At 45.7% G+C, this 18,065-nt stretch overlaps 2 annotated features.

Annotated features, from left to right (window-relative positions):
- Window positions 17,223–17,292: an enhancer, noted in NCBI's record as "active region_1588". NCBI's record gives its function as "activates an Ori minimal core promoter by ATAC-STARR-seq in GM12878 lymphoblastoid cells {active_cell/tissue: GM12878}" and the evidence as "EXISTENCE:reporter gene assay evidence [ECO:0000049][PMID:35858748]".
- Window positions 17,483–17,722: an enhancer, noted in NCBI's record as "active region_1587". NCBI's record gives its function as "activates an Ori minimal core promoter by ATAC-STARR-seq in GM12878 lymphoblastoid cells {active_cell/tissue: GM12878}" and the evidence as "EXISTENCE:reporter gene assay evidence [ECO:0000049][PMID:35858748]".

Raw genomic sequence — 18,065 nt, 5'->3', positions numbered from 1 at the left:
AGCATTAAGAAACATGGCTCAATGAGTAAGTGGTAGAACTTGGATTTGAATGCTGGTCTGTGTGATTCCAAACAGCATTTTAGCAGGGTCTTTATGAAAGGGTAGGATTTTGCTATCTTGAGAGGGGACATGTAGTGAAGAGCCTATGATTCCAGCCCTTAGGTATTTGAAAAGAGCCTCCTGAAGCTACTGTGAATGCTGGTGACGTTACCAGGGCCGAGGCCAACAGTTTAACATGGGCAGAGATGGGGGCTGGAGAATCCTGAGCTCTCCAGATGGCCTTGCAGTCCAAAGCCTGCTCCTGGGGCAGGCATCCCGTCTCCAGCTTCGGAGGGAGCCCAGGGGCAGCCCACCTCCTGTGGGCCCACTCCATTTGCTGCTCCTGCCTTGGGAGTCCCAATCACTGACTCTGAGAGGGGCTACATCCCCCCTCCCAGGGTCTGAGACTCCTCCTCAAGGACTGACACTGTGCCACTTTTCAACAATAGCCATGGTACCTGTAGAAGTGGCTGTGGGAGGCAAAGAAGGAGGAGCATGTGAGATAAAGAACTCAGACTTAACCAAGACCTAAGTTACCTCACCCACATTCTCATCCTGTTGCCCAAGACGCTCAGCCCAGCCATGTCAAGATTCCCTGTTGCTATCCTCTCTCCCCTTCCCGTCTTAGGCACTGACTGACACGCCTCTAGAACTATGCTGGGTAGGTAGATACTAGCAACTGTGTGGTTGAGGAGGAGGCCACCATGAGGGAGCAGTGTGGAGCAAAATCCCCACCTGCCATCTCACAAAGAGCTTTTCTTTTTCTCCTCCAAAGTCCCGGGACAAAACAGCCACCCGTAAACATATTCTAAGGGATCCATGAGCTTTTCATGGAGAATCTTTATATTCATTGTTCTCATTACTATGCTAAGTTAAAGTATAAACATTATCTGAATTCCAGATGACATCTTACAATTCAGGACTGCACTTCAAACCTGTCCTTGGCATTTGGCAATAAGTAGCAGCACTTTCATTGGCATGAACAACTGAGTAAAGCACAGGGGCAGATGCAATACAGAAATAATGAGTTTGTTCCATGTGAAGGCCACGTGATATTACTGTACCGCACTTTTGCAGTTACTAAAATGGAGCTGACTAGTACATAGTATGTGGCGAGCTGGATGCTGAAGAACTTGAACTATGGCCGTCATTTTATGAGAGGCAATCATCTTTCAGCGAAACCACCTCCTTCATTAAGTTAGATTAGAGACTCTTAACTTTATTGTTGTGATCGTTGGATGATATTTAATCTGTATATTTATTTTAGTCTTAGAGTTATATGGTTTAGGAATTTACACCTAGTTTTATATATGTACATATTTAATTATAAAAATAACGTAAGTCAACACTGATGGCTTGTGAGCACTTTTTTCTAGTAACTTACGTTACAGATGTGATCACCCTGAAGCCTGGGTAAGGCATCCTCAGCATTTAGAGAAGGGAATGAATGAGCAGGAAGGGCAGGGTGTGAAGAGCAAATATACATGTCCCCTTTGGAGAGGTGAAAGCAGAGGATGCCATGGGAAGGATTCTGGACTTAGAACCGAAGGAATGGGTCTAGTTTGGGTTTGGCCATTTTGTAGCTGCCATGTCACTTCTCTGGGCCATGGTTGCCTTTGCATGTCTGCTTCTGCTTCCACAGTTCAGCTGCAAACTGCTTAGCAATCTTCCTGTCACCCTTGCACCTCAGTTTATCTGCTTCCCTGAGATGGAGGGGTCAGGGGCCGGTGGGGGACAAGAGGGTGTTCTAATCAGGAAATAGCCTTGGCCCTCACAGTCCCACCCAAGGTGTCTGGCTGGTGCCAGCCCCCAGCACACTCCTCCATTTAAGCTATTGGTCACTCTCCAACCAGTCCATAATAGACACCAGGGGCAATTAAGCACCAACCCACGGCAGGCCCTTACTGGAAAGAGGCCAAGCTGGTCTATGCTTGCTTGGATTTTCATTCCTTATCAGCACGTGCAATCTACGTAGGTCAATCAGACCAGAGATTCCACAGTTCTGGAGTTATAAATAAGAGAACCTACTTCTTTTCAGTGGGGAGAATAAGACCAAAGCTACCGGACAGAGGAAATTTCTGAAATCCCTGAGGCTTCCTTTCTCCTGGACAAGGGGCCCTCTGCTGCTGGTAAGATAAGATGATCCCACCCCCACCTTCAGGTTCAGGTTCATTATCACCAATAATAATCATTTCTAACCAGTCTTTATAGTTTATAAAAGATGTTCAGTTCACATATACTATCTTATTTGATAATCAGAATAAATAACTGTTTGGGAATGAATCTGAGACTCAGGGGTTAATAACGTATTTGAGAACACACAGTTGTAAATTGGACCCAGAGACCAGAATCCAGGCATTGGGACTCAGAGTTATTCTTTCCACCACGCAGTTCTGTTTTTACTTGCACAGTGTACAGGGAAATTTTGCAGCTGTAGCCTGCCTCACAAACATTTACAATCCTGGTTGTTCAAGTAGTAAGTCTTACCTTCCCAAGTTAACTGAAAGGTACCAGGACAGGCGATATAGTGTGCACCCTGGTGTCACCTATAGCACTTACACATACTCATCAGTTTGGTTTTGACTTGAGAGAATAAAGGTAAAGTAATTTGGCCATAAGGATTCCCTGTTCCTTAGAAACATCCCCCTCTTGTCACTGATGTAATTCTTCAGAGGACCAGCATTTTCATTCTACAACCGGTATTCAATCCTCTTCTAATACTTTTCCCCATGAGAGGGGAGGGTTGGAGGTGGGAATGTTAACCCTAAAATGGGACTAGAGAAGGAAGAAGAAAGCAGGTTAGTGCTCAGATATTAAACTTTCCTCTGCACTTCCCATGAATGTATACAATACATATGACCCAAGGAAACAGACTAGATTAGTGATTCTTGAAACTTTTGTTTTAAAGAAAAGAAAACTCTTTTTAAAGTGAAAACTCACTTGGAAATTCAATACATAACCAGAAAAAGCACAGGTGCTCTGGTTAGGGACGTGGGGTCCCCCCAACAGTGCCCCAAACCACCTCCCCTTGCCGGGGCGCCTTACATACCACCTCCTTGGAAGTGCAGGGACTCTGCTAGGCCCAGTTTGAGAATCACCTGATCAGATCATTTGCCAGCTGGGCTCCAGGGCAACAGAGATGAATAATGCCAGCTCCCTGCCAGCAATGAGCTTTCAGATCATTTCAATGCAGTGTGATAAGAACTGTGACAGAGGAGGGGCTGGGTGCTACAGAGCAAAGAAGAGAGTCACCCCAGGCTGGGGTTACAAGGCCTGGGATAGGGGAGCCGTCTCAAGAAGAAGTGGTGCCAGGGTAACTTGCAGAATACTTTTGTAAAACAAAAATGACAAAGATTAAGTTGAGAAATCTATGGACGCTTAAAGATAAAAATCACACTCTATGAGGTCACTGCCAAAATAGTTGTCATCCCTGGAGGATAACCAGGACACTAGAGGGTCAAGAAGCTGTGTCACATGAGAGACACTGGAGTGCTGGCCTGCATCTGACTTCCCTGCCAACTTGCCATCCATGCATGCTGCTCCCCAGGGAGTCACATCACCTCTGGGCTTATCAGAGACTGAGCAACCCCTCAAGATGGCCCTTGGGGAATGCAGCAAGTGTGGTAATTGTCAGTGTGTGGAAGGGGCAGCAAAAGATCCCTGAGCTACCCAGTGGCCAAAGCCCATCTCCTGTTCTGATCCTTGCCTCCCCACCCCTCCTATTTATGATTCAGCTTCCCCTCAGACTGCAGATTCTTCCCTCTCTCTCACCCTCACTTCTGTCTGTCTCTCTATCTTTCTTCTTTTGCGGTCCTTCCTCCTCCTCTTTCTTCCTTCACATCCTTCCTTTTTCTCTCTGTCTCCTGTGTCTCTGTGTCTCTCTATCTCTTTCTCTCCCTCTCTGCCTCTAGAATCTCCTCCAAAATCCAGAATATTTAATGACATGGAGAAGATTCACAGTATATTGTTAAGCAAAAAATATTTCTGTCTTTTTTTTTTTTTTTTTTTTTTGAGGCAGAGTCTCGCTCTGTCGCCCAGGATGGAGTGCAGTGGCGCAATCTCGGCTCACTGGAAGCTCCGCCTCCCAGGTTCATGTCATTCTCCTGCCTCAGCCTCCTGAGTAGCTGGGACTATGGGCGCCAGCCACCATGCCTGGCTAATTTTTTGTATTTTTAGTAGAGACGGGGTTTCACCGCATTAGCCAGGATGGTCTCGATCTCCTGACCTCGTGATCTGCCTGCCTCAGCTTCCCAAAGTGCTGGGATTACAGGCGTGAGCCACGGCGCCCGGCCAGCGAAAAATATTTCTAAGGCAGCTTACAAAACAGTATGTCCTGTACAATTCCATCTTTCTTTTTTTTTTTTCTTTTTTCTTTTTTGAGACAGAGTCCCACTCTGTTGCTCAGGCTGAAGTGCAATGGCATGATCTCGGCTCACGGCAACCTCCACCTCCTGGGTTCAAGCGATTCTCCTGCCTCAGCCTCCTGAGTAGCTGGGACTACAGGTGCCCGGGACCACGCCCGGCTAATTTTTGTATTTTTAGTAGAGATGTGGTTTCACCATGTTAGCCAGGCTGGTCTCGAACTCCTGACCTCAGGTGATCCACCCACCTTGGCCTCCCCAAGTGCTGGGATTACAGGCGTGAGCCACCGCTCCTGGCCACAATTCCACATTTCTAAGAGGAGACTGATGGGGAGAGCACCTCTCTTCTGATTGAGTTCAGGAAACACTGAGAAGGAAAGCCAAGGAGCAGCTGATGGGAGCTAGAGGATCAGCATTTTTATGGACAAATCTCAGTCAGAGGGTCCCGCCTAGGTAAGACTTAGGAATGAAGAGAAAGAGGGGAGTCGCATGGCCTGTAGGGGTTAGGGGGAAACTCACTCCCAAGGAGACAGGTAGAAAGCAGCTAAGCAAACCAGATTTGTTCTGCCCAGATTCAGCAAGCAAGTTCAGTCACTCCCTTCCCTGGGGAAGCCCCAAGTAATGAGATGGAGACAGGCCAGAGTTGTTGCACTAATTGATCTCCCCACTTGGGGAGGAAACACCAAAACAGCTCTCATACTTCTTTTGTTACCCTGCACTACTGAAGGCTCTACTACCATTCGATTGCAGCCAAGGCCTGATGCTGGGGCCAGCAAGCCAGGAGCAAAGTGCCTACAGACGGAGTCCTTATCTCTGAAGTGAGGAGATTGGGCCGTTAAGTTCCCTTCCACCTCCGGCATCTGGTTTTAGAGTTCCAATGCAAAGTGCCTACCGAGGGTCCACTGGCATTTAAAGAGATCCATGGGTGGGCTCAGAAGGGGAAGGATGTTTGCAAATGGGGGTGTATGCAGATGTGTGTGCATCTTTCTGGGGAGATGATCCACAGTTTTAATAGGATTCTGGAGTGGGGCCCAAATCCCCCAGATCACTAATAAACACTCTTCCCTAAGTTGAAGGAACTGGATGCTTTGGCCTGAGACCTATCCTCATCCATTTGTAAGGGCAGTCATGTGAAAGAAGGCATACACTGTATTCTGCATAGCTTCCCAGCAAGAAATTGGAACCAACGGCTAAAATTTCAGGGAGGCCAATTTTAGCTCAATATAAGGACCAACTATTTTGAGTGATGTGAAAATAAAATAGATGGTTGCCCAGAACACTGAGTTCTTTGTCACTGAAGTATTCAATCAGTGGCTATCCTTGGTGTTGGAGTGTGAGACAGACTGATAGCCTTTTGAGTCAGGTCCAGCTGTGTACCGGACTGACTGAAGGAAGGCTGAGGGTTTCAGTGCCCTCTCAGATGAGAACAAAAGTGAGGAAAGAGAACAAGTGAAGCTGTGTCTCTCCTGTGGTTTGAATTATAGGCAGAAACCCGAGGTGTGGGGAGCTGCTTGAACTGATTGCTCTGGCCTTGTCATTCCCTCCAGTGGAAGGGGACATCTTCCACAGGTTTGCAGACCCTCAGAGCTCAAGTCTTCAATAATTTGGCAGGGGTCTGGACATTTCTGACTGTCTTCCACTGTCCTAAGCTGGGCTAGATGTGTACCCTGGTACCTGGAACCCACAAAATCTGCCTTTGCTTTTGCTCTTGTAGGCAACTTTTCTCAACTGTATTCTGTATAATATTATGTGACATGCTTATGGATTTTCTCCCAAAATTATTTTTGCAATATATGTCAGAAAAACATTATGTGGGTACTTATGTTAAATATTTTTAAGAATGGTTATACCACACAGAAAATGCCATCCTCCTAGAAGACCTGATGGAATTTCTAGAGACAACCTGAGCACTGGTGGAGCATTTACCACCTCAGGTTATGTTGACAGTCAGCTTATGGTCAATGATTACTGATATAACTTATGTATCTTGCCTTCAAATATGAATGCCTATTTTCTATTTAGTCAATATTCATTGTATGGTGTACTTTGTTTTATTCCACAGATGTTTGTTTCCTATGGATCGGTGGCTTAAAGAAGGAAAATTTTACTTAAAAAGGAGAGCCATATGGTTCTCAACCTATCTGAATCAAATAAGCAAATAGACATAATACTTCAAAGGAAAGGTGAACAGTCATGGCCTTTGATTTCTAAAAAGAAAAAAAGAAAGAAAGAAAAAAATGGAGGAGAGCTGCTGTTGGCAAAACAATGGTTTTGGAACAGCCTAATCAGAATTATCACAAAACTATCGCAAACTTGTTTCACAGAGGCAAACATTGCCTCTTATCCTGGTTTTCCTTATTTGTGAAGTTGCCACACCCTCGTTGGCCACCTGGAGGTAGCCAGCAAATCTCCAACAGGTGGAATGGGTCCTCCTGGGCTGGGGAGGCCTGCAGGCAGAGCAGAGTACACCCCGGCAACACTCGAGGAGCAGCCAGAGTGGTCTTTCCACCAGCAAACCTTCCCAGAGGGTCTCCTATGCAAGTCGGTAGCTGGGCTGTTTCCTTTTGACTCCAAGTGGGCTGAGCCCCTCATAGTGGAGGGAACCCAAACCTAGGAACCTGGCATCCGCCCAGATAAGCTTTGTAGGGTAAAAAAGTGGGACTCCCGTGGTGGGTGCCACTGTCACTCAACAGCCCCGCATTTTCTAGAGTGTGAAGCAGCAAGTCCACCTCCAGACTAGACAGAGCATTGGTGCTGTGCCAGAAGGAAGGGAGACAAGCCCTTCTGAAAAGTGTTTTGGGAGTGTAGAAGGCTAGTGGGGTGATGTGGGCCTGTGGAGGGAGCTCGAGAGACAGCTGAAAGAAGTGAGAAATTGTCAGCTTCCTTTTCTTGTCTTGGCAGGATCTTATTGTCTGAAGCACACAAGACTCCCATCCTCTGGGAGGACTGCGGTTGCTGAAGGAGAAACTCAACCCTGGTCCTGGCACTGACCAGCATGCAGCCCAGATTGCCTGGTTAGCAGGGCTTCAGCTGCTTTCATTCTCTTAACAACTTGGGGGTAAGGTGGATGGGGAAGGTGCCATCATCATCCTAGTTATGCTGCTGAGTCTTAGGGCTGTTGGAAACTTGCTCAAAGTCACATAGCTCGTAAAAGGCAGCGTCAGAGTCTGAAGTTGGATCTTCTCACTTCAAAGTCCAGACTCTTTCCAATATTCATGCTGCCTTGCTCACACACCCTAAAGAAGCCTGCTGGGCACCCTCCATTCATCAAGGAGGTCACTTTTTACGAATTGCTTTGTAAACCCTGGCATCTTTTTGTGATCTGTGTGACTGTTGATATATCTGTATGCCAGATGAGCTCATGGAAGCTCAGAGAGGTTCAAGGACAGGGACAGAGTCACAGAGCAAAGTCAGGGCTCAATTCAAATGTGTTCACCTGTTCTCAAGAATCCTGAAGAACACTGTTGTCAGAGGGTAAAGGGTTTCACCAGCCTCTGCCTCCGTTTTGACTTATGTGACCCATCTCTATGTTTTGTGGGTCTAATTTCTGGAAGGTTGAAAGGAAAGCAAAGTCAGTTTGATACATAGGAGGCTGAAAAGGGACCCACAGTGGTAACAATGATCCCAACAGCTCACAAACCTAGGGAGGTTTCTCCTGGATGGTCTAAAGACCATGGCTGTCTGTGGAGGGAAGAGATGGGAATGACTGTCCAGCCCAAGATAGGGCCAAAAAAGAAAATCTTAAAATATTTTCATTTTCTTAAAGGTTAACACAAGCCCATCAGACCGACCAGTTTTATAAAGAAAGTGGTCAAGCAGATAGTTTCACAATTTTTTTTTTTTAGCAGGACAAAAGAGACTTAATAAAGCAACAGTGATTCACTAAAAGAACCCCAAAAGGAGGTGAGTCATAACATTATATCCATAGCTGTGGGGTAACATACAAAGTAATCCCTTGAGCACTGGGTTTAGCATCGGAAGATAAGGACTGTGTGATCTTGTGTGAGTCACTTAACCTCTCTGAGCCTCAGGGTCCTCCTCCATAGACACTGTCCCCTCTTCAGAGAGTGATGGTGATGAGCACATGGACACACTCTGTGCTCCAGAGGAAAAGGTGAGTGCCATTGCAAACCATCCTAAACACTTTGTTCATGCCATCATTATAGCACTTCGTGCATTGCAGTGTAATTGTCTGTTTATTTCACTGAGTGTCTCCTCCCAATGAGGGACCCTACCATCTGCCACATTGTGGTGTTCAATGAATGTTTTTGGAATGAATGAATAAACGAATGAATAATCAAATGAATTAACAAATCTGAAAAGCATGATGCAGACTTCAGCATTTTTTTTTAACACAGATATACATGTGGGTCACAATGCAAGGAACTTTTTCCAAGCTTCTGGTCATACCCAGAAACATAAAAGCATGGAATATTCAAGACGCAATCAGAGGTGGCACAGAGTATGGAACACGCTTTCCTGCTGCTTTGGCACAAGCTTCACCCTAGTGAGGCTCAGTTGCCCTTCAAACATTGCCCCAGTGCTCCGTTCGCCGGCTATCTCAGACATACTGATGCACACTGGAGTGCCAGCAGTTGCCATTCCCGAGCTGGCTGAGGCCTGCGGTCCTGCCTCTCTATCCTGTCTCACAGATGGGAAAACCAGGGCCCTGGCAGGTGCAATGGCTTGGCCCAGCGATGGCTCAGGGTGCCCGACAACACACGCAGAACTCTCTCCATCCCAGCCCTGCTTCTCAGAGGGTACAAGGCAGTGAGCTAGGGGTACGAGAAGCCCTCAAGAGCCCGAAAATCAGGAATTATACAGATGATGCAGTAGAATGCAGGATTCACATTAATTCAGTAAACATTTACTGAGCGTCCATCATGTGACAGGCACTGGATTTTTAAGTTAAAATATGGGGGTTCACAACAATTTGCTGTTTGGGCCAGGCCACTCCAGAATAGGCCCCCATACCCAGGTTTTGTAACCATTCTGCTCTAGGGGAGGGATCTGAGCGGGGCTGCCCACCAGCCTGCTGACCACCTTGCCCATGTTCTCTCTATTCTGAGGGCTTCCTGCTCTGGTCTCCAGACCTCATTCTTGAAGAGTCACTCCTATCCTTCTCAGGTCTCTGCTGTTCTGCCTCCCGCCTCTGTGGCTGCAGCATCCAGGACCTTCTGCTTACTCAGGCCAAGGAGACAGTGCAGAGAGAGAAGGGAGATCTCTGTGACCCTGCACCAGGGCCAGCCTCTGCACTTCCCTTCTGCCTGGCAGCTGCCCAAGACTTTGACCCAAAGGCTCCCCCTCCACCCCATTGTTCTGTAGCCCTTGGAAGCCCATGGCACAGAGCTGAGCGGCAGGGGGCACCCCTGTGCGTCATTGTGCTCCAAGCAAAGACAATTTCCTAGGGAAGGCTGGAAGACAGACAGAGCCAAGCAAGCCCTTCTGTCCAGACAGAGCAGAAAATAGAAACTGCCAGGAGAGGAACCAGACACAGAGGCAGGGTGGAGCAAGAGGAATTGTCTGGAGACTCCTCTTCTTGGCTAATTGCTTTGAGTCTACACGTGGTTCAAGGCTGGACATATGGCCAAGCTGGGAGGGGCCTCAGTGACCATCCGGTCCACGCCTTCATGTCACAGATTGGGAGGCCATGGACCAGATAGGGGAGGGGATCTGCCCAAAGCTGCACAGCAAGTTACACAGGGCAGGACTAGAACCCACTGGGCCCAGGCTCTGGTGTGTATTTGGGCTGGCTGTCCTGGTGTCTGAGAGCACAGTCTTCCCCTCCCTATATTCTCCTCACTGCTCACCCTGCTCTCTGCCACTGCTGGAAAAGCAGCATTTCAGAAGGCATTTTAGAAATCTAGACCCAGTTGGTCCTGATCCACTCATGTGTCAGAACCCAGAGTTCAACCACTGTTGGGAGGTTTCAGCACGCAATTCTGTGAATCCTAACCCTGGGCCCAGGGCGTTCGGCCTGAGGTGTGACCTGTCTCTGACTGTTCCAGGAGATTTCTCCTGGTCAGGGGGACCTGAGATATAACCAGAGCACACTGAGGCATGAGGTGCCGTGGCAGCATCGTGCAGCGCCGTGTGGGCAAAGCATTGAGGAAGGCTCTCAGGCCAGCAGAGCTTTCTGAAAGGGACTTTGCCTTGGACTCTGATTTAAAGCCTCTCCTCCTGGACCAGTATTATAACAACCATCCATTCCTGTTCTTCGGGTTTGATGAGAATGGAAGAAAAAGAATGAAGGGAGAGAAGTGAAAGTCTCTGGGTTTTCATTGCCGCTGTGTCGTTTATGAGCTACGTGACCCTGGGCCAGTCCCTTCCCCCTCTGGCTTCTTTTTCCTCATTTGTTAAATGAAAGGGTGGTCCGAATGACTCTGCTGATCCTTCCCTTCCTGAGACTCTCTGACTCACGGGAACTCGAGAAAGTCCTGCCCCACACCCAAAGGCCCAAGACTTTCCCTTTGAGTGGCTTCCCTCTGTGGCATTGATCTCAGAATATTTAACCACAGGAGTCCTTGCCCCTTGAGTGTGGAGCTGAAGGATGAGCGCCACTTAACAGAGCAGGAAAACCATCCTATAAAGAGAAACAGGAGAGACTCCTTACTTTTTACCTACTCTCATCATTTCAAAAAGAGCACGCAGCTCCTGGTGGCACCAAGATACCGAAACTAAACCAGCGTTATCTGTGGGGCATAAGATTTATTTTTATTGTATATCAAGGGCTTCAGAAAAGAAACAACTTAGCTTTTTGATACTGAGGAAATTCTGTATCTAATTGTAGGTGCTATTTTCCCCTCATTCTTATCAGTGAAACTCTTTTTGGTACACAGAGTATAAGTTGCACTTTGATGCAGACATGTTCTTCCTATCCATGCTTCATTGCACTGAATGCATCTCACACTGCCCTTGGCCAGGAGCCCTTGTGCAGGGCACAGCCTGCATCACTGTCTATGGCAGCCCTGGTTCGTAGGGTGGCCTGTCTCATGCTTTCTTTAAACAAAAGTCTAACTTCCCTTTTCTTACATCTTGGCCCTGGTAGCTGAGACAGAAAACTTTAAGAGTTTAATTCCTAGCTAGGCGTGGTGGCTCACGCCTGTAATCCCAGCACTTTGGGAGGCCGAGGCAGACGGATCACCTGAGGTCAAGAGGTTGAGACCAGCCTGATCAATATGGTGAAACCCTGTCTCTACTAAAAATACAGAAATCAGCTGAGTGTGGTGGCGCATGCCTGTAGTCCCAACTACTCGGGAGGCTGAGACAGGAGAATTGCTTGAACCTGGGAGGTGGAGCTTGCAGTGAGCTGTGATCACACCACTGCACTCCAGCATGGGCGACAGAACAAGACTCCATCTTAAAAAAAAAAAAAAGAGTTTAATTCCTCAGTTTAAGTGGCTCATTTAAGATGCATGGTCATCCTCTGCCCACCCACCATCAGAGGCAGAAAAGAAATAGTCTTTGCAAAGAACACGACCACATCCACAGAAAAGCAGCTCTTTCTGTAATGCCTGGACTTACCTAGATCTGAAACCTCTTTTCCTTCTTTCCCTCTACCTCTATCCTGAGCACCATGTATCAGTCAGCTTCTGCTGCAAAGTTCCCAGGTGAAAAGTCATCTGTACCTCAATGACATACAATAATAAACTTTACCACTTCTGTGCTTCGGGTCAGTCAGGCAGCTTTGCTGATTTGGGCTGGACACATCACGTGTGAGGGGCTGCGGGCTGTTGGCTGATCTAGGCCACCCTTGGCAGAGGCAGCTGGGGAGATCGCGCACTGCTCCCTGGTCTCTCACCTCCAACAGGCTGGCTCGGGTGCATTTTCATATCTATGACAGAGGCTCAAGAGAGAGCCCTGGAAACGCTCAATGCCCCTTGAGGCCTAGGCTCAGAACTGGCACACTGACCCTTTGCTTCATTCTGCATGCCAAAGCAAGCCCTGCAGAGTAGGGAAATAAATACTGTGCTTTTATGGGAAGAACTCCAAAGTTACATGGCAAACGGCTTGCAGACAGGGAAGGGTAAAAAATTGAGGACATGAATGCTCTCAGCCTCCCGTGTCCCCATCCCCTCCTATGTGTTTTCCAGTCAGAAGACCTCTCCCCTGTATCTTCCACTGCTCCCTCTGTACTTGGTCAGACCCAAAACCAATGTATGTTTAATTCTTTCCTATCTTAAGAAAAAAGTATTACATAGCCCCCTTAAGCATTTATCATCCTGTATCTCCTTCCTTTCTTCTTTAGATAATTTATTCTAAGAATATAAAACATAGATGTATATAAGAAGAATATAAAATACAGAAGCATTGTTCCTAACAGTGTAACTGGAAGTAATGGAAACATCAGAAGCGGGGGACAAACTTAGCCAACTGCTACTTGAGGTGGGTGAATGTTCATTATGTAGACCTTATAAATGATTTATGCAATAATGTTTAAAAAGCTGCATGAGATAAAGTTAATTCAAGAAATAAGATATGGACCACACATATAAGCCCATTATAACTCTGTTAGCAAAAAGCTCTACCATGTAAAACTGGTGGAATCTGAATAAGATCTGGGGATTGGACCAATGTCACTTCCCTGGCTTTGAGGCTGTATTATACACATGTAAGATGTCCCCATTGGGGAAAATTGAGTGAAGGGTACACAGGACATCTCTGTACTGTTCTTGCAGCTTTCTGTGAATTTATAATCATTTCAAAATAAAAAGTTTTTTTCAATCCCCAAAACTTACAGAGAAAGAAGTTTAAAAAAATAGTTACATTATGTGATAGAAATATGAGTGATTTTCTATTTTGTCTAAATTTTTCATTTTTTAAAAGTTATCATGCAAGGGAGAAACCTTTTTTTTCTTTTCTTTTTTTCTTTTTCTTTTTCTTTTTTTTTTTTTTTTTTTTTTTTTTGAGACAGGGTCTTGCTCTGTTGCCCAGACTGGAGTTCAGTGATGATCATGGCTCACTGCAGACTCAACCTGCCAGGACCCCAAATAGTTAAGCCTTCAGACACACACCACCATGCTCACATAGATGTTGGGGGTCTCTCTATGTTGCCCGGACTGGTCTCAAATGCTTGGCCTCAAGTGATCTTCCTACCTCAGCCTCCCAAAGTGCTGGGATTACAGGCATAAGCCACTGCATCTGGCCAACTTCCCACTGTATTTTTTAAGAAAGAAATCCTAGATTCCCTCAGCCAGCTCTGAGCTCACTGTCCCTGGGCACAGGGCCTCTCATGGCCTCCCACTGTGGCCATTTTTAAAACTTCCCTTGGCCATCTGCTTGCCAGAGAACGCACTTCTTGAGGACAGGAGCTATATCTTAGTCACCTTTGTGCATCTCCTCTTCTCCCCTCTTACAAAACTTACTCATATTGAACAAATGTGTATTGAACCAAAAAATCTGCTGGATACTGGTGATCAAAAACCAAATACATCAAGATACATGGAAGAGTTCAAGCCCATAGACAGATGCCTGTTTAATACAACACAATCAGCCAGGCCCAGCGGCTCACATCTGTGATCCCAGTACTTTAGAGGCCGAGGCAGGAGGATCACTTTAGCCCACAAGTGTGAGGTTGCAGTGAGCTATGATCACACCACTGCACTCCAGCCTGGGCCACAGAGGGAAGTTGTATCTCGAAAAAAACAAAAAATACAACACAGTCAAGCCACATAAAAGATGTGCAAGGGATAGTGGGAGTGCAAAGAAGGTACAGAGAAGGTGCCTTGGGTTGCAGGGAAGTCTTCATAGAGGAGATGACACGAGTTCACCAAGGGGTGAGTAGAAGTTGGGAGGAGGCCAAGTCAGAAGAGCATCTTCTAGACAAAAGGATGGCCTTGAACAAAAATGCAGAGAAATAGAAGAACACAGTGGGTGTTACAAACCCATCATCTTCATCCTGGGGATATTTTCCTGTTAAGAAAATATTTTCCAGCATAAACTCTGTTGAGCCAATTTATTTCCTTCATCAATTTTCTAATGCAAGGCAATTCAATAGTTTCCTATTTTTTTGACTTTCACTTTTATGTTATCAGAATTATTTTTGCCATCTATTCTTTTCTTCCTTTGGCATTGTATAGTACCAGTTTCACTGGTTGATCTGTTTGTTTTGTTCACACCAAATTGTACTGAATAAAGCTTTTTTCATGGTGATAGATGTACATAGGCCTTTAATTCTTCCAACTTTGACTTTCCTGGGTCAAATTTTATATCAATCAATATAGTCTAGAATCTTATTATTTTACACATCTTTTGGTTAAAAAACAATATTTTATCAAGTATACTTTTCGCCACTCTCACTTTTTTAAATTTCATTTTGATTATTCTACCAGCAAGATGCATTGTGAATTAGGTAGACTACTGAGCAGTTTTTGTTTCTTAGATTATCCGTGAGAAAATGCAGTGAATGTGTGAGACCCAGCAAGCCAGGCTGACAAATGGAGAGGAAATGCACAAGAGGTGACATGACTAAGAGAGACATGGAAAGGCGGCAGCGCTCCTGGCACGCTGTCTGCCAAGCACCAACACGGGGCTCCCACTGCCCTCAAGGGCCAAAGCATGATGGGGAGAAAGGCCTCGGGATCTAAATGATGAGATAAATGGGTAGGGTCAACGAAGCAGAGCCAAGGCATCCTGCCATGAGCATGGCATGTCAAGGAAAGGGGGAGAGGTTCACTATTGAGGAATTTGAAGTGCAGGGACGAAGTGGGTGAGGGGCCTTGTATGCTAAACTGAAGAGTTTGGTTGGGCTTTATACAGAGATAAACAAGAGTGGATAATACCTACACATGATTTAGAAAATCAAATTGTACAGAAGGACTTTTTCTTAAAAAAGCAGTTGAACCCAGCCCCATCCCTCACCCCAGCCAGTCCCAATTGCAAAGTAGACAGAATTACTTTTGACTATTTCTGACATTGGATTGTCTACAGATTACCTGTATATATTGAAAATGTGCCTATATGGTTGTTTCTTAATTATTCAGCTTTAGCTGGGTGTGGTGGCTCCTGCCTGTAATCCCAGCACTTTGGGGGACCAAGATGGGAGGATCACCTGAGCCCGGGAGTTCAAGACCAGCCTGGGCAACATAGTGAGATCGTGTCAAAAATTAGCTGGCATGGTGGCACACGCCTGTACCTGTAGTCCCAGCTACTCAGAAGGCTGAAGTGGGAGGACTTGCTTGAGCCAGGGAGGTTGAGTTTGCAGTGAGCTATGTTTGTGCCACTGCACTCCAGCCTGGGCGACAGAGTGAGACCTTGTCTCAAAAAATAAAAATATTCAGTTTTAGGTGTTATGTACAAACTTCTTGCTGTGAAATATGGGGATTTAGTTCTCAATGGATGACAGACTAACTAGTACTAGACTTGCCCTTCTGTCAAAAACAATCATAAAATCAAACAAGATACATGAGATGATGTTTTCAAGCACTGAATGGCAGGTAGTGCAGGGCCCCGTGATTTTTGAGAGAAGAGAAACATACAAGGTAAGTCACATGATCAGCCTGGCTTTCTGTCTAGGGAGGTTTTCTTTCCTTGAGCTCTTGAGGTAGAGCTCAAGCTGAACTGAGGTGGCAGAAGTGAAGTTCTGGGCTGCTGAAGCAGCTGGGATGTGTGGGGCAGGGAAAGAAGGAAGAGGGAACTGCACATGGTGTACGTGTTTTAGGGGATGGGGGGAGAAATCTGGATAAGTATTCTTGATCCAGGGTTAAAGTATATATGTACTGGGTGAGACCATTGCTTAGCAAAGATCACCAGTCGCAGAGCTGAGAGCGGACAGTAATTCTAGAGATGATGCAATATTGGAGACTCTAGAGTTCCAGGCAGAGTGGAGAAACCTCACTGAGCACTTCAGGCTTTCAGTGGTGATACAAGAAAGACCACACTTTAAAAGCAGGGAACACATTCTAGGGTTAAGAGGCGTGCCCTAAGACTAAGTTCAAAACAGAAATAGACCTGCCCTAACAAAGAATAAAACCAAGCCTAACAGGACCAAAAAGATGTGCTAGTAGTTTAACTGTCTGCTAGAACAAAGCTCACCACCATTTAAAGGAAGACAAGAAAATCCAGGCTCCCTACAAAGTATCATCCACCAAAGTCTAGCACACGATAAAAAATTACTGAACAGGCCGGGCGCGGTGGCCCACACCTGTCATCTCAGTACTTTGGGAGCCGAGGTGGGCAGATCACAAGGTCAAGAGATCGAGACCATCCTGGCCAACATGGTGAAACCCTGTGTCTACTAAAAATACAAAAATTAGCTGGGCATGGTAGTGCGTGCCTGTAGTCCCAGCTACTCGGGAGGCTGAGGTAGGAGAATCAATTGAACCTGGGAGGTGGAGGTTGCAGTGAGCCAAGATCGTGCCACTGAACTCCAGCCTAGTGACACTGCAAGACTCTGTCTCAAAAAAAAAAAAAAAAAATTACTAGACATGTGAAGAAATAGAAAAATGCCACCCATAGTTAAGATGAAAAGTGGTAAATCGTTTCCAATTAAGATTTTTTTTTAAGGGAAAAAGGCATTAGTTGTATCTTTTAGAAGGAACACTCGGGTATTGAAAGGCCCAAGGACCACTCCAGAAAGACTGACCTAGGAAGAGACATTGAGTTGTTAGAAGAATCTCCTCACAGCTCTATAGGAAGGTGATGAGGATATAGACTAAAGTTCTGCAGATCTGTAAGTTTTGTGGTTATATTAAAATCACAAAATATCATCCTCTATTTGTGTGTGAAAAAAAAATCACAAAATGTCAGGACAAAAAAAAAAATCCCTTAGGTAGCATTCTATCTACCTTCTCTTATTACATCTGAGAGAACTGGGACTCAGAAAGGGTGATTTTTCCTAAGATCCCACAGACATTTAAGGTGCACTGGGATTAGAATCAAAGCCTCATAACTTTCCGTACTCACATGGCCTTCCTGTGACTACCTTGTACTAAAAAATAGTCTCCAAGATGACTAATTATCTGCATGCTTTCAGGGGGAGGTCCCCAACCATAGCTTCTGAGAAAAACATCAAGGTGTCACTTCTTCTTTCTTCAACCACGTAGAATGGGAGGTTTCCTGTAAGCCACCAGATAGTGACAAAACAGTGCAAAAGTCGTCACAAACCAGACGCTTGATGACTACTCACATAAATAGTTGATATTTAAGGCTTCTGACACTGGATTTCTAGAAATGTGTGTGCTTTAAATTCATATTTAAATTTGTTTAGTTGTCGCCCAGAAGCAACATGATGAGGTCATGACTGCGGCTTTGATCCACGGTAGTGCCCAGATAATATAATCAGAGGAAAAAGAAAATACATTCCATGTTGTATTAGTCCTTTCTTGCATTGCTATAAAGGAATAGCCAAGACTGGGTAATTTATAAACAAAAGAGGTTTAATCGGCTCATGGTTCTGCAGGCTGTACAAGAATGGCACCAACATCTGCTAAGCTTCTGGTGAGAACCTCAGGAAGCTTATAATCATAGCAGAAAGTAAAGCAGGAGCAGGCATTTTGCATGGTAAGAAAGGGGACAAGAGAACAAGAGTGGGGAGGTCCCAGACTTTTAAATAACCAGATCTCTTGTGTACTAACTGGGGGAGAAATCACTTATTACCAAGGGGAAGGTGCTAAACCATTCATGAGGGATCCACCCATGATCCAGTCACCTCCCACTAGGCCCCAC

Source organism: Homo sapiens, chromosome 1 (genome assembly GCF_000001405.40).
Source record: "Homo sapiens chromosome 1, GRCh38.p14 Primary Assembly".
In the NCBI taxonomy this organism is placed as follows: Eukaryota; Metazoa; Chordata; class Mammalia; order Primates; family Hominidae; genus Homo; species Homo sapiens.
This window is presented reverse-complemented; position numbering and strand designations above follow the sequence as displayed.